The 14621-nt window shown below is 40.8% G+C and overlaps 1 protein-coding gene and 1 pseudogene across 4 annotated transcripts in view; both read right to left on the bottom strand.

Annotated features, from left to right (window-relative positions):
- Positions 1–14621, bottom strand: part of IL23R (interleukin 23 receptor) — a 127267-nt gene that overhangs the window by 61465 nt on the left and 51181 nt on the right. For all 4 annotated transcript variants that reach the window (XM_011540790.4, XM_011540791.4, XM_047447227.1 and 1 more), the window contains exon 5: positions 3542–3702. In XM_011540790.4, the coding sequence (XP_011539092.1) occupies positions 3542–3702 (161 nt within the window). The remainder of the gene's footprint in view (positions 1–3541; positions 3703–14621) is intronic.
- RNU6-586P (RNA, U6 small nuclear 586, pseudogene) lies at positions 8196–8299 on the bottom strand (annotated as a pseudogene).

The following is a 14621-nucleotide window of genomic DNA, read 5'->3' as shown; positions in this document are numbered from 1 at the left end:
TATGTAATACATACTTGAATATTTAGTTTGTTACACAAGACTCAGATGTTGAATTTTTATTCTTACTGATTAGGTTTCACATATTTCCACCAGATCTTACATTTTAAAAAAGTATCGGGAGGTCGAGGCGGGCCGATCATGAGGTCAGGAGATCGAGACCATCCTGGCTAACATGGTGAAACCCCATCTCTACTAAAAATACAAAAAATTAGCGGGGCGAGGTGGCTGGCGCCTGTAGTCCCAGCTACTCGGGAGGCTGAGGCAGGAGAATGGCGTGAACCCGGAAGGCGGAGCTTGCAGTGAGCCGAGATCGCGCCACTGCACTCCAGCCTGGGCGACAGAGCGAGACTCCGTCTCAAAAAAAGAAAAAAAAAGTATCAATTTTATTATAGATGTCATATTTTTAAATTCTACTCGTATTGAAATAAAAGCGAGATTATAGCCTTTTAGCATCTTTCCAACACATATTTATCCATATTTATATAATGGGGAGAAGTAATATTCAAAATGGCAGGCAGAAAGCACAGCAATTTCTGTACCCGAATTTATTTCCCTACAAGAGAAGTTAAAAGCATTCCTCTCATATGCTTTTTTGGCAAGTGTTAATGTGCTACTAACTCTGCGCTGCCATTCAGCATAACCTCCCTAATGTCATTAAAGCCCAGCCCGTAGCTGCTATGTGGAAATTGTTCCCAGGACAGTCTTCTGTTCTCAGTGGCATAGAACAGTTCATTTATCTAATTTGCGTTGTCTCATTCTTAAAGTGTTACCCATGAAGACGGCTCATCTGTTAATAATCTGGTGGTTTTGTTGGCTGGGGCCTCCTATACAATTAATCCATATTTTTCAACCTGAGTTTCTGAGTACATTCTGGGATAATGAAAAGGCAAGGAAAGGAATAGAGACAAAAGGGGAGGAAGAGGTGGAGGAGGAGGAGGTGGAGGAAGAGGAGGAGGGAAAGAGAAAGAAGGAGAAGAAGGAAAAGGAACCACAACTCCAAACTCCTAGTTCCCAGTGTGAGAAGTCAGTCTGGAAGTAGAGGCCAGATGGGATTTTTTCCTTTGTGGGAGGTGGGATGGTGGTAAACTATAGCAAGTCAGCATGTCTGGGATGAAATCTGGCTTTCCTCATTACTAGCTAAGTGACTTTGCGCAAATCATTTTATCACTTTCTTCATCTGTAAAATGGGGACAGTAGTATCATGTATGGTTGTTTCCAGAATGAAACGTGATGTGCATGAGAGGTGTCTGGAACACAGAAGGTGCTAAATAAATTGATGCAATGATATTAAGATCAGAATGGTAATAATAATACAAGTATTATTATTATTATTTAGTTCCTAAAAATTGCACTGCTAAAATGATACTGGTCATGATAGCTCTTAAACATCATTAATTTATCTATCGTAAGAAAAGGGTATATTACTGCATTCTACCTCAAAATGTAAATTCACAAAAATGTATAGAGCATAGTCAAGAGAACTGTAACTCCAAGGATATACAATAAAATGGAATAATTGTCCATCATCATATTCAACAGAGTGTGTTTTCAAATCTAATATTCAGGCCGGTCATGGTGGCTCACGCCTGAAATACCAGCATTTTGTGAGGCCAAGGCAGGAGGATCGCTTGAGCCACAGAGTTCGAGACAAGTTTGGGCAACAAAATGAGACTCTGTCTCTAAAAGAGATTTAAAAAAATTAGCCAGGCACTGTGGCCTGTGGCCTGTCGTCCCAGCTACTCGAGAGGCTAAGGCAGGAGGATCCCCTGAATTAAATGTTCCCTACCTCTGTGATCTCAAATTTTTTAATGCCATCAAACCTCAGTTTTCTAATATATAAATTATAATCTCATCTACAAAATAGGGTTGATATGAGGGTTAAATAACGTATGTGAAAAGCTGTTAGCTGGCAGTGGCTCACGCCTGTAATCCTAACACTTTGGGAGGCTGAGGTGGGAGGATTGCCTGAACTCAGGAGTTTGAGACCAGCCTGGCCAACATAGCAAAATCCCATCTCTACTAAAAATACAAAAATCTATATAGCCATGAACAACTTTGTGGCAATATAGATCAGCTGGGCATGGTGGCACACACCTGTAGTCCCAGTTACTAGGGAGGCTGAGGCATGAGAATTGCTTGAAGCCAGGAGGCAGAGGATGCAGTGAGCCGAGATTGTGCAACTGCACTCCAGCCTGGGCCACAGAGTGAGACTCTGCCTCAAAAAAAGAAAAAGTAGTTAGCACATAAGAAAGTGCTCAATAAATGTTAGCTTATTGAAATATCTTTAATTATAACAACAGGAATCATTGGTACTGGGATCTGCAAAGACAGGATGATTCAGACTTGGTGTCATTTGGCTGAATTGTGGTTTTAGGACTTGGATGTAGTTGTAAAAGGCTCAAGGGTAATTACTTTTTGGAATTTATCTTAAGGAAACAATCAAAAACTATGCTAAAATTCAGCCACAAAGTTGTTCATGGCAATATAGTTTATATGGTTAAAAACTGAAAACAGTGTTAATCTCCAACAATAGGGATTAAACTGCTATATATTCAGACAACATTAAAAATAAAACTATAGATTAAATTAATAGAAATGTTTATTACTAATATATAAGTATAAAAAGGCAGGGTATAAAATATCTGAAACAAAAACTATTAATGTTTGTTAAATCTGGCTGATGAACATAGAGAGGTCTACATAATTCTCTGCAATTTTCTATGTATTTTGTAAAACTTTTCAAAATAAAAACAAACAAACAAAAAAACCTTACATAAGTCCCCAAGTAGTGTATAGAGTATAAGAATTTAGCATGCTGTACTTTTCACAACGTAAGACTCAACAAACTTTATCATGATCATAGTGTTTTTTTGTTTTTTTTTTTTTTGCCTTCCCTAGTAGATTGTAAGTTATTTCAGGGCAGGCACCTTGTCTATCTTATTCACTCTAGCCTTTAGAACAATGCTTGAAAATAAGAAGTTTCCAATAAATATTTGTAAAAACACATATATGGATTTTTTTTTTTTTTTTTAGACAAGAGTTTTGCTGTGTCACCCAGGCTGGAGTGCAGTGGCACAATCTTGGCTCACTGCAACCTCTGCCTCCCAGATTCAAGCAATTCTCCTGCCTCAGCCTCCTGAGTAGCTGGGACTACAGGTGCCCGCCACCATGCCTGGCTAATTTTTTTTTTGTACTTTTAGTAGAGACAGGGTTTCACCATGTTAACCAGGCTGGTCTCGAAATCCTGACCTCAAGTGATCGCCCACCTCGACCTCCCAAAATGCTGGGATTACAGGCGTGAGCCACCGGCCCAGCCACATACAACAATTTAGAAATAAGACTGGAAGGATATACAACAAAATGGCAGCAGCACTACTCATCTCTAAGTTGTCTTGGGCAGGTAGAATTATGGGTAATTTCTGTTTCTTTTATCATGCTCTGCAGGAACTTTAGGGGAACTTCTTTCAGATCTAGACCTCATTTGACAAGGTCAGCACAAACTGGTTATTATTAAAGACTTACAGAATTTCTTATTCTTTACCTATATCATCCAGGTGAATTTGCAGTTGTTTTGACTCTTCCATGCCTAGTGCGTTTGCTGCTTGGACCCAAACCAAGTACTTCTTGCCACCTTGTAATGAATCAGTGGAGATGTTAATATAGCTTGAGGTGAGATACTGTTGCTCTTCTTCTGTCTCTAAACTTAAAACAAAAAAAAAAGATGATCATAAATTGTATTTAGTTTGAATTAATTGGCCAGGCATGGTGGCTCACACCTGTAATCCTAGCATTTTGGGAGACCAAGCGGGTTGGATCACCTGAGGTCAGGAGTTCGAGACCAGCCTGGCCAACATGGTGAAACCCTGTCTCTATTAAAAAAATACAATAATTGGTGGCATGTGCCTGTAATCCCAGTTACTTGGGAGGCTGCGAAAGGAGAATTGCTGGAACCCGGGAGGCAGAGCCTGCAGTGAGCCAAGGTCACGCCATTCACTCCAGCCTGGGCAACAGAGTGAGACTCTGTCTCAAAAAAAAAAAAAAGAAAAAAAGTTTGAATTAATTATTCCAGATTTTTAAAATGTTACCTTTTTAAAAAAAATTAGAATTTATGGCTCACGCTTGTAATCCCAGCACTTTGGGAGGCCGAGGCGGGCGGATCACAAGGTCAGGAGATCGAGACTATCCTGGCTAACATGGTGAAACCCTGTCTCTACCAAAAATACAAAAAGAAATTAGCCGGGCGTGGTGGCAGGTGCCTGTAGTCCCAGCTACTGGGGAGGCTGAGGCAGGAGAATGGCGTGAACCCAGGAGGAGGAGCTTGCAGTGAGCCGAGATCACACCACTGCACTCCAGCAGGGGCGACAGAGCGAGACTCCGTCTCAAAAACAAAAACAAAAACAAAAAATTAAAATTTAATTTTCTAAACAGTAGAGACAGGGTCTTGCTGTGTTGCTCAGGCTGGTCTCAAACTCCTGGACTCAAGCAATCCGTGCATTTCAGCCTTCTAAAGTGCTAGGATTACAGGCATGAGCCACTGTGCCTGGACAAAAACGCTAACTTTTTAAGCCTGCTTTCAAATATGCAACCTTTTACTGAAAAATATTTCAAAATTGATTTTATTTTCACAATTTTAAAAAATAAATTCAAATCTGACAAGGGCCACAGTATGATTTCAATGGGCCCTGAACACTTCTGCCTTCATGGACCCTTTCCTCCATTAAAAAAACAATGAGCGTATATATTATATAAATATATAAAATACACAAAAATATACACACATATACATAGATGTATACATATGCATGCCATATACATGCATATACATGAACATAACAGTTATTTTTCTCTTCTGATTTTAAGTAAAATTAAACATTTTCATGGACTCCTAAAATTATTGTGGGCCCTAGCCACTGTGCCTACTGTGCCTGTTAGGGAAGTCGGCACTGGACATAGCTTGGAATAGCCAGAATAGCTGCCTTTGGAAAAGAGCACTGCATTTTGGTTCAGTGCAAGGACTGTGAAGTCAGACATTTCTATCAGGACATAGGGTGAGGATGGAGTGGTGGGGAGGAGTCAGGATGGGGTGAGAGATCGCAATGGGGTAGGGGGAAGGCCAACCTCCTGGACAGAGACAACCAGCATGTTCTGAAACAAATACGTGAAATAACATGACATTTCTGAGAAGGTTCAACAAGTGCAATAGCCTGGATCCTGAAAATGCAAGAAGAAACTTGTAGTGGAGCAGGCCTGTCAGAAGACCTTCCATGAGCTACTGATGGATCAGGACTGTATCATGTAAGTGATAGAAAGTGAGTGCATATAGTGAGATTCACACTATTTTGAGGGTCTCTGGGACTGTCTAGCACCTTTACGGAGGATTTGTGGGAAATGAAAGTGGTGGTAGTGGAAAAATCAAAAGGCTATACAATAATCCAGAATTGGATTATTAGTCTGAAATAGGTGGAAGCCAATGGGGGTGGATATGAAGGATTTTGAGACAGGGTCTGGCTCTGTCACCCAGGCTGGCGTGCAGTGGGGCCATCTTGGCTCACTGCAACCTTGACCTCCTGGGCTCGAGTGATCCTCCCACCCCAGCCTCCTGAGTAGCCGGGACCACAGGCACGTACTACCATGCCCAATTAATTTTTGTATTTTGTGTAGACATGGGGTTTTCCCATGATACCCAGGCTAGTCTCCAACTCTTGAACTCAAGCACTCTGCCCGTCTTGGCCTCCCAAAGTGCTGGGATTATAGGCATGAGCCACCTCGCCCAACCCATGAAGGATTTTGAGTGTAGAACTGACTGGACCTAATGACAGGTTTGATGAGGGGAAAGGGAGTCATGCACTGTGGAAGAGGATGGAAAAGATAAAGAGGAAAGATCTAGTTTAGAACAGGGGAATAGAGAGGGCTATTAAGTATCATTTCAAAGCATATTTATCTAAGTATTTATAATTGAATGAGAATATCCAAGTAGCCCAATAAACTTGGTAGAATTCCGAATGATATCTGTTAATGCCAGAGTTTCAAATTGTTTTCACTGGCTTTGGACAGAATGTTTGAGCCTCTGTTTTTAAATCTCTACCCCTAAATAATCACATGATGTTTTTAGTGGACGAGGGTTGGAGGCGGTGGCGAAAGGAGTGCTGGAGAATGCTTCTTTGCTCCTCTGATTTCTGTGAAGAGATTTGATATTGTTTCCACCCTCATCCTCTCCAAATCTCATGTTGCAAAGTCATCACCAGTGTTGGAGGTGAGGACTTGTGGGGCAGACCCTTCATGAATGGCTTGCTGCCCTCCTGGCAGTAATGAGTGACTTCTCCCTCTGAGTTCAGGCAGATCTGGTCATTTTAAAGAGTGTGGCATATCCCCCCTCCCTCTATCTTGTTCACAATCTTCCTGGACAGCCTGCAGAACTGTGAGCTGAAATAAAACTCTTTTCTTCATAAATTACCGAGCCTCAGGTATTTCTTTTCTTTTCTTTTCTTTTCTTTTCTTTTTTAATGACAGGGTCTCACTCTGTCACCCAGGCTGGAGTGCAGTGGTATGGCCACAGCTCACTGCAGTCTTGACCTCCCAGGCTCAGGAGGTCCTCCCATCTCAGCCTCCTGAGTAGCTGGGACTACAGGCATGCACCACCACTCTCAGCTAATTTTTTGTAGAGACAGGGTTTTGCCACATTGCCCAGGCCAGCCTCGAGCTCTGAGCTCAAGTGATCCTCTTGCCTTGGCCTCCCAAAGTTCAGGGATTACAGGTGTGAGCCACCACACCTGGTCTAGATATTTCTTTATAGCAAGGCAAGAATGGACTAACACAGGAGTGTCCTCAAATCTCCTAGCCTCTTGTCCCACCCCTTGTTCACTCATTCTTCTGCAGAGATGAATAGGGCCCCCCTCAGACTCCAAAACACAACATAATCTGTAATCAGATTCATTTGTAACATGGAAGTATTTTCACTAGAATTTCCTCAGTTCCCATTTCTTGAGCCCCTTGAACTACCTACTCCATTATTTCATGTTCTTAAGCTTCTCAGATTTTCTACCTCCTTAGTAACTACATCCAACTTATTCCCATTTGGTCTTTAGTCCTTTTATTGTGATCTTTGCCTTTACTTTTCCTTGAAACTGCTCTTTTAAAATGGTGTCCTTTACAAGGTGAAGTCCTCTGAATCCTCATTTAAGCATTTATCCCTCTTGATTGGTTATAATTCTCACTTCCTTGCTACCCAAAGCCTGTCTTCTGGGTTAGAGGGCCTTCCTCTCTCACACCTACTTAGTGGCATGTCCCCCTCCAGCCTTCCACCTGGGTTTCTTTCCCTACTCTCTGAGTTCACTCACATTGAAGGTCAGCCCTGGTGTTTGCCTTTTCCCTGACCCCTTTTTCTGGGCTCACTCCCTTCTCAGCTTCACCTGCTATTTCACATGTGTGTCTCACGCATACCTGTGCCCTCACTGGGAGCTTCATTTGGATGTCTGACTGGAACCAGAACTATAGAAAACTGACAACTAAATTATCTTTCCATGCAAATCAGCACTTCTTGCCAGTGTCTTCATTGTTGTCAAAGGCATGCGGTCCACCTTTCTCAGTTTGCCATTTTTAACAATTTTCTCTTCGTCACCTTTAAGAGCCAACCAATTACTAAAGAAGGTTAAGCATTTTTTTAAGCATTAAAATATTATTTTCCTATGTTATCTTTTTTCCCTGTTTTGATAGCTATGGCAATGGTCTAGGTCTTTGTTACCTGTTTGGTTTATGACTTTCAGACTCCTAAGTTAATTGCATTACATCATGAAACTTAACTTGATATAGATATACTACTTTAGAAGGAAAGTAACCTTGAAATCTGAACAATGCTGGAAAGCCAAGTAGCCTACATTCTTATTTTCTTCTATTTTTTAGAGACAGGGTCTCACTCTGTCACCCAGGTTTGAGTGCAGTGGCACAAATCATAACTCACTGCAGCCTTGACTTTCTGGGCTCAAGTGATCCTCCCACCTCAGCCTCCTGAGTAGCTGGGATCGCAGGCATGTGCCACCAGGCCTAACTAATTTTTTTATTTAAAATAATTTTTTTTTAAGAGATGCAGCCTCGCTATGTTGCCCAGGCTGTTCTCAAATTCTTGGCCTCAAGGGATCCTCCCACGTGAGGATTACAAGCATGAGCCACCGTGCTCAGCCATATACATTCTTATTTGTATCAAATGGAAATACTTCACAAATTTGCATGCCGTCCTTGATCAGGGGTCATGCCATCTTCTTTGTCTTGTTCCAATTACACTGTTTGTGCTGTTGAGGCAGACTCTAACCTGATTTTTTAAATCTAATACCATCAACTGCCCTCTCTCTCAGGGGACTGCCTTGATTGGATTTGTGGAGAAGATAAAGCTTAAAAATCACTGTCCCTCCACCAAGGCTCCACCAAGTCCTGTTACTACTATATATCTTTTCAGCAACTCCTAAATTTTTCTAGCCCCAAAATATCCCACCAGGATTAAACTTGCTAGCCACTTACATCTTTTGGAATCCAAGAAACGTGCTTGCTGAGACGCAGAGAAAAGGAACCAGCCTTATGCTATTAATACCAAGCAATAAGCAGATGTGTGCATCTAAGTACTATAGAAATTCTATATTTTATATAATTTATATAAACTTATTGCTACTATCAGAACAAGACAACCTCAGCAAGTGGTCAAGGAATCTCTCTAAGGCTGATAGTCATTGGAGGGGTGAGGAGCAACTCCTCCTATTCAGCTCAGGTTTTTCGGTTCCAGTGCATTTTTTCTGTGTTACCTCTTTCCTCATACCAGCGTGAGATCACTATGAACACCATGAGAGGACGAGGAGGGTATGTCATGGTGACTAAAATCACAGGGCTTGGATTTTAGAGACAGACCTACCTTCAAATCCCAGCTCTGCCCCTTGATAAGTTGTAAGACTTGGAGCAAGTTACTTAAGCTCTATACAGCTCAGTTTACTCATCCTCAGTATAGGAATGATAACGTTGTTGTTATCATGAGTAAATTAAATAAGAAACAGAGTAGATGGCTTCTCACCTAATGAAGGACTCATTAAACAACAATTTTTCTGAATTAAGAGATACTGGCTGAGGCCAGGCATGGTGGCTCACACCTGTAATCCCAGCACTTTGGGAGGCTGAGGCAGGCAGATCACTTGAGGTCAGGAGTTTGAGACTAGCCTGGCCAACGTGGTGAAACCCTGTCTCTACTAAAAATACAAAAATTAGCCAGGTGTGGTGGCAGGCACCTGTCCTCCCAGCTACTCAGGAAGCTGAGGATTGCCTGAGCCCAGGAGATGGAGGCTGCAGTGAGCCAACATTGCACCACTGCACTCCAGCCTGGATGACAGAGTGAGACTATGTGTCCATTTAAATAAAAAAAGAAGATATTTATGATATGTGACTTTGACACATTCTAAAGAATACAAATGAAACTTTTAAAATTGCTATATTTCTTACCAGTAAAATTTCTCTTATATCACTGTATCTTAAGTTAAATTATGCCGTTAAATTGAGATGTTTACATAGTTACCTTATATTCTTTCTGAAATAAGATGAAACGTAAATACCTTAACAGAGAACTTGTTAAAGTATGTTAACCTCATGCTAAGTAAGAATTCAAATGTGAAAACAAGAAAATGGCAACTATGTGTAAATGGTAAGTAGGACATCTTTGAATATTTTCCAGTTAGAGAAAACCACATTATATGTTCTTCATTGGTTTGTGGCTAATTCTTTTACCACACATACTGAGACCACAAGTCAAAATGGAAATGTATTTTCAAACTGACAGTAACCATAGTTACTAAGTAATTTAATTCTGCTTTTAAAGTCTACCCCATATTAGCACCTAGACCACAAAGCACTGTTTTAATTGAAGAATCTGATAATAATGACTAATTACACCTTAGGGTTATTTTTATATAGAACTTGTGATATTGTGACATAATAAGAAATATATATTTGGTTTCTGTCTGGTTCCCAGCACACAGCTCCTAAAACCCTTGGAATCTCCAAAGTGCTAATGAGATGGCTGATGGCTGGGGGCTCCTGGATAGGCTTAGGGTAGGGGCTGGTTGCCAGGGGAACCAACAATGTGATGAGAAGATTGAAACTTTCAGTCCCCCCAACCCCCTTGCCCTTTACCCACCCCCATCTCCTGGGAAGAGAGAAGGGCTGAATGATCCCCAATGGCCAATGATATGATGAACCGTGCTTATGTAATGAAGCCTCCATAAGAACCCAAAAGGACTGGGTTCAGGGAGCTTCCAGATATCTGAACATATGAGGATGCCTGCAGGGTGGTGTTCCCGCATGCTTTGCCCCATGCATCTCTTCCATCTGGCTGTTCATCTGTAGCCTTTGTTATATTCTTTATAATAAATGGATAAATATAAGTAAAGTGTCTTCCTGAGTTCTATGAGACACTCTAGCAAGTTAATCAAACCTGAGGAGTGTATCGTGGAAACCACAATTTTTAGCCGGTTGGTCAAAAGCACAGGTCATGACCTGGGGCTTGTGATTGACATTTAAAACAGGGTTGAGTCTTGTGGGACTGAGCCTTTAGCTGTGGGATCTGATGCTACCTCCAGGTAGACAGAGTCAGAATTGAATTAAATTAGAGGACATCTAGCTGATGTCTGCAGGAGAATTGATTGGTGTGTGGGGAAAATCTTCCCACATTTCGTGTCAGGAGTGCTGTTGAGAGTAGAAAGGAGAACAACACTTTGGTTTTTCCTCTATCTTTTACATAACTGTATATTACAAAGTTTTTGAATATCTTATTTCTATTTCTTTTTTTCATGGGCTAATACATGACAGATGATTTGTGAAGGGAGTTAGTATAATTCATATTTTTCTGATGTTCCCTGAGCACCTAGATATAGTTGTAATTTATAGATTTTCAAAAAACATTGCAGATTTATGTTGATAATGGTAAATAGTGTCTTTCATTCATTTAATCACTCATTCAATAAATATTTATTTAACACTGACTATATTCCAAGTATATTTTTAGATATTGGGGCTACAATGAACAAAACAGATAAAGTCCCAACTGTCATGAAGCACACATTTTGGTGGAAACAAATAAATATAGAATCTGATCTATGTATGGTGAGAAATGTTCAGAAGAAAACTAAAGCGGAGTAAAAAGGTTAGGCAGTTCTGAGAGTAGGGGTGGGTTTTAAGGTTTTTGTTTTTTAGAGAGATGAGGAAAGTCTTATCTGAGAGGGTGACATTAGGGCAATAAGGAAACCCTGTGGCTCTCTGGAGGAAGAGCATTCTAGGTAACATGCAAAGGCCCTGAGGCAGGACCTTGCTTGGCCTGTTCAAAGAGCAGCAAGGAGGTCAGTGAGGTTTTACTAGGAAAGGGATTAAAGACAAAATCAGAGAGTTTTGGAAGAGGGGAAAGTTTAGAAGACTTGCAAGGTCACATAGAGTCCTTGAGGGACTCTGGCTTTGATCTCTGAATGAAATGGGAGGTTCATGAGCAGAAGGGTGACATGGCCTGAGGTGCATGTGAAAAGGATTACTGTGAAAACTCATGAATAAGGGACTCTGGAGGAAGCGAGTGGACCAGTTAGAAGTTCTTATACTCCCAAGTGAGAGATGATCTGGCTTGGATTGCAGTGTAGGTGGTGAGGTCATTTTAAAAGATAGAGCCGGAAGGTTTTGCTGATCAATTAGATGAAGGCCATAATAGAGAGGAATCCAGGAGAATCTACCTGATTTTGACCTGAATAATGCAAAGGATACAGTTGCCATTTACTGAAATGGAAAATGCAAGTCTTGGGAGAGGAAACTGGGTGTTTGGTTTTGAAAATGTTAACTTCAAGATACCTTGAATGACAGGTTAGAAACATGGCAGCTGTATTTGGTGGAGATATTTAGACACAGATATACATTGAGGAATTTTAAACCACAAATTTGAAGGCTATCCTTTAGGTAATGACTGTAAATAGAGATAATAAAAGGTCCTAGGTGTGAAAGTTGCACATACCAGGATGAAATCACTTTTGTCAGACCCAGACAAAATAGGGCAAGAAAGGCCTGAAGGAGAAGAGGCCCATGCTTACATGTCTGAGATAAGAACTGTTCCCAAGGACTTTCTAAAAACCTTTCAGTCATCCCCTGCTTTGATAAGGTTTATCACTAGACATCCTTTAGGACTGCAGTAATCCAGATAAGATGTTTTTGGAAGACCGCTTACCCAGTAATACATCTCCACTTATTAATTGACAATCACTCTGGCTTTGAGCCTCTGGAACTAATGAACTCTGTTCCTAAATAGCTCACATATATTCCTTTTTGGTAATAAAAGCTTCCCTTTATCCTTTCCCTCACCAAATGCACTGCTGGCTTGCCATGTCATGCATTCTGTATTATACTCCTTATTTATATTCTCAAGTAAACCCAACAAATTTGAAGATAATCTTCCCTAGTGTCTTTTTTTAGGCTGACAAAATATAGAGCTCTGGGTCACTATGAATTTATCTGAAATGAAGATGAATCAGCAAAAGAGACTGAGATAAAGTTTCCAGGAAGGTGGGAGGAGCAGCAAAAGGGAGTCCTGTCCTGGAAGCCAAATGGAGGAAGTGAAGAGCTACATTAAATGCTCGGATAGTAAATGTTTCATAAGTAAGATAAAGACTGAGAATAAGCCATTCAATCTGGCAATGGGGAAATCATCAGTGACTTTGACAGGAGCTGTTTCAGTGGAGTGGTGAGGACATAAAACATGACTAAACTAGATAAAAGAGAAGAGAGAAAATAGAGACAGACAGTGCAGACAACTCTTTTGATTTTTTTTCATAAAAAGAAACAGAGAAATTGGGTGGTAGAGGTCAGGAACAAAGGGAGGGTTATATTTTTCAAAAGGGCAAAGGCTACAGCATGCTTAAAAGCCAATGGGAATGATCCAGTAAAGACAGAGACAATGACAATGCAGAAGGAAGAGAGGAAAGTTTTGGAGCAGTGTCCTCCAGTAGGCAGGCAGGATAAGATCTAGTACCCAAGTGGAGAGTTGACCTTAGGGCAATGGTAATTCATCCATAGCAATAGCAGGAAAGATCAACTATATGGGTACAGATGTCAATGCATTAGTCAATGAGGGAGGCTGTGGTATTTCTCATTGCTTCTGTTTTCTCAGGAAAGTAGGAAGCAGGTCTTCAATAGAGAGTGAGGAAGGGAAGATACTAGAGAGGAGAGATGACAGAAAAAGTAATGAAGCAATGACCTGGCTTAGCAAGACAGTGACTTGGCTAGTGAAATGTAGTAGGATTACTGTGTGGCTCTCCGGGCCCAGTTGAGGTTAGTGGTCATGAATATAAAGCAGTATCAGTCAGCAAGGTTCTGTTTGTCTCCAGCCACAATTAGCTCTCTGGGCTCATAATCAGTGAGGAAATGGATTCTAAAATATAAACTACATTTTGAGTCCTAAAGGAATTACTGAAACCTAACGTAGCCTTAAAAATAGTATTTGGAATCACACCTAAGAACTCTTTCTGGTTATTAAAAATATGCATGTAGAGAAGCTGTGGCAAAAACAAACAGGCCTTATGAATTAGCAGAGTAGGCCGCTGAATTTAAGGGCTCTAACATGATACTGCATCTGAAAACATTTGCCTTATTGGTCTTCTACGGTGCGTGAAAATCCCAACATTGATGTTATTCTAAACTGTTTATGAGCTTGTCATGCACAGAGATGATCTCTTTTTTTTAAATATCTACAGTTTAATACAATTCCAGGAAACCATCAAATGCTAAATAAATATTTGCTAAGATGACTTGAATGGAACAGAATGCAGGGCTATCATTCATGCATTTTTATTCAACAAATATTTATGGAGTAGAATACACTGAGCCAGACATTACCAGTGTTTCCAAGATAAATAAAAAATATATTTACATGAAATTGCTGAAGATAGTGGGACTACAGTAGGGAGATGGTTATTAGCACTGGTTTTGTTTTTTTTTTGGTTTTTTTTTTTCCCTATCATTACCCTTTGAAACAGCAAAATACAGGAGGTAAAAGAAGGTATGTGAACAGCCAGGAGGCTCTGTCTGGTGAGGCCACCGCAAAGGAGCTGGGAAGAAAGAAAGCTCTTGAAGCAAAACAGACAAAATTCTACTTTACAACTTCACCCCAACATGAGGAGGCCTGTGATGGCACCTATGTTGCCATAGGGGAAACACTGCCTTTCTGCAACTGGAGAAATGAGTAGGTGGTCTCAGGTAAAAAGCTTCTCTCTACATGTGATTTTACTGGAAAACTGAACCACATGAGTTAGAAGTGAAACCTTGCACATGCTGATCTCTGCCTAGTTACCAATGTGGAAAATACCCTAATAACTGAACGTTTAGAAGAGCTCCTTTAAACATAATACTACCTCGACCACAACATTCATTATAAGTCAGCTTTCTCCTTGAGGGAAAGATTTTTTCTGGTAGTTAGGGAAATTGACTTGCTCTTTTCTTTCTTTTTTTTTGAGACAGGGTCTGGCTAAGTCGCCCAGGCTGGAGTACAGTGGCTCACTGCAACCTCTGCCTCCTGGGTTCAAGCCATCTTCCCAAGTAGCTTGGACTCCAGGCACCCGCCAACACGC

The sequence above is a fragment of the Homo sapiens genome, chromosome 1 (genome assembly GCF_000001405.40).
Source record: "Homo sapiens chromosome 1, GRCh38.p14 Primary Assembly".
Lineage (NCBI taxonomy): Eukaryota > Metazoa > Chordata > Mammalia > Primates > Hominidae > Homo > Homo sapiens.
The sequence above is the reverse complement of the archived record's forward strand: the minus strand, read 5'-3'. Positions and strand labels throughout refer to the sequence as shown.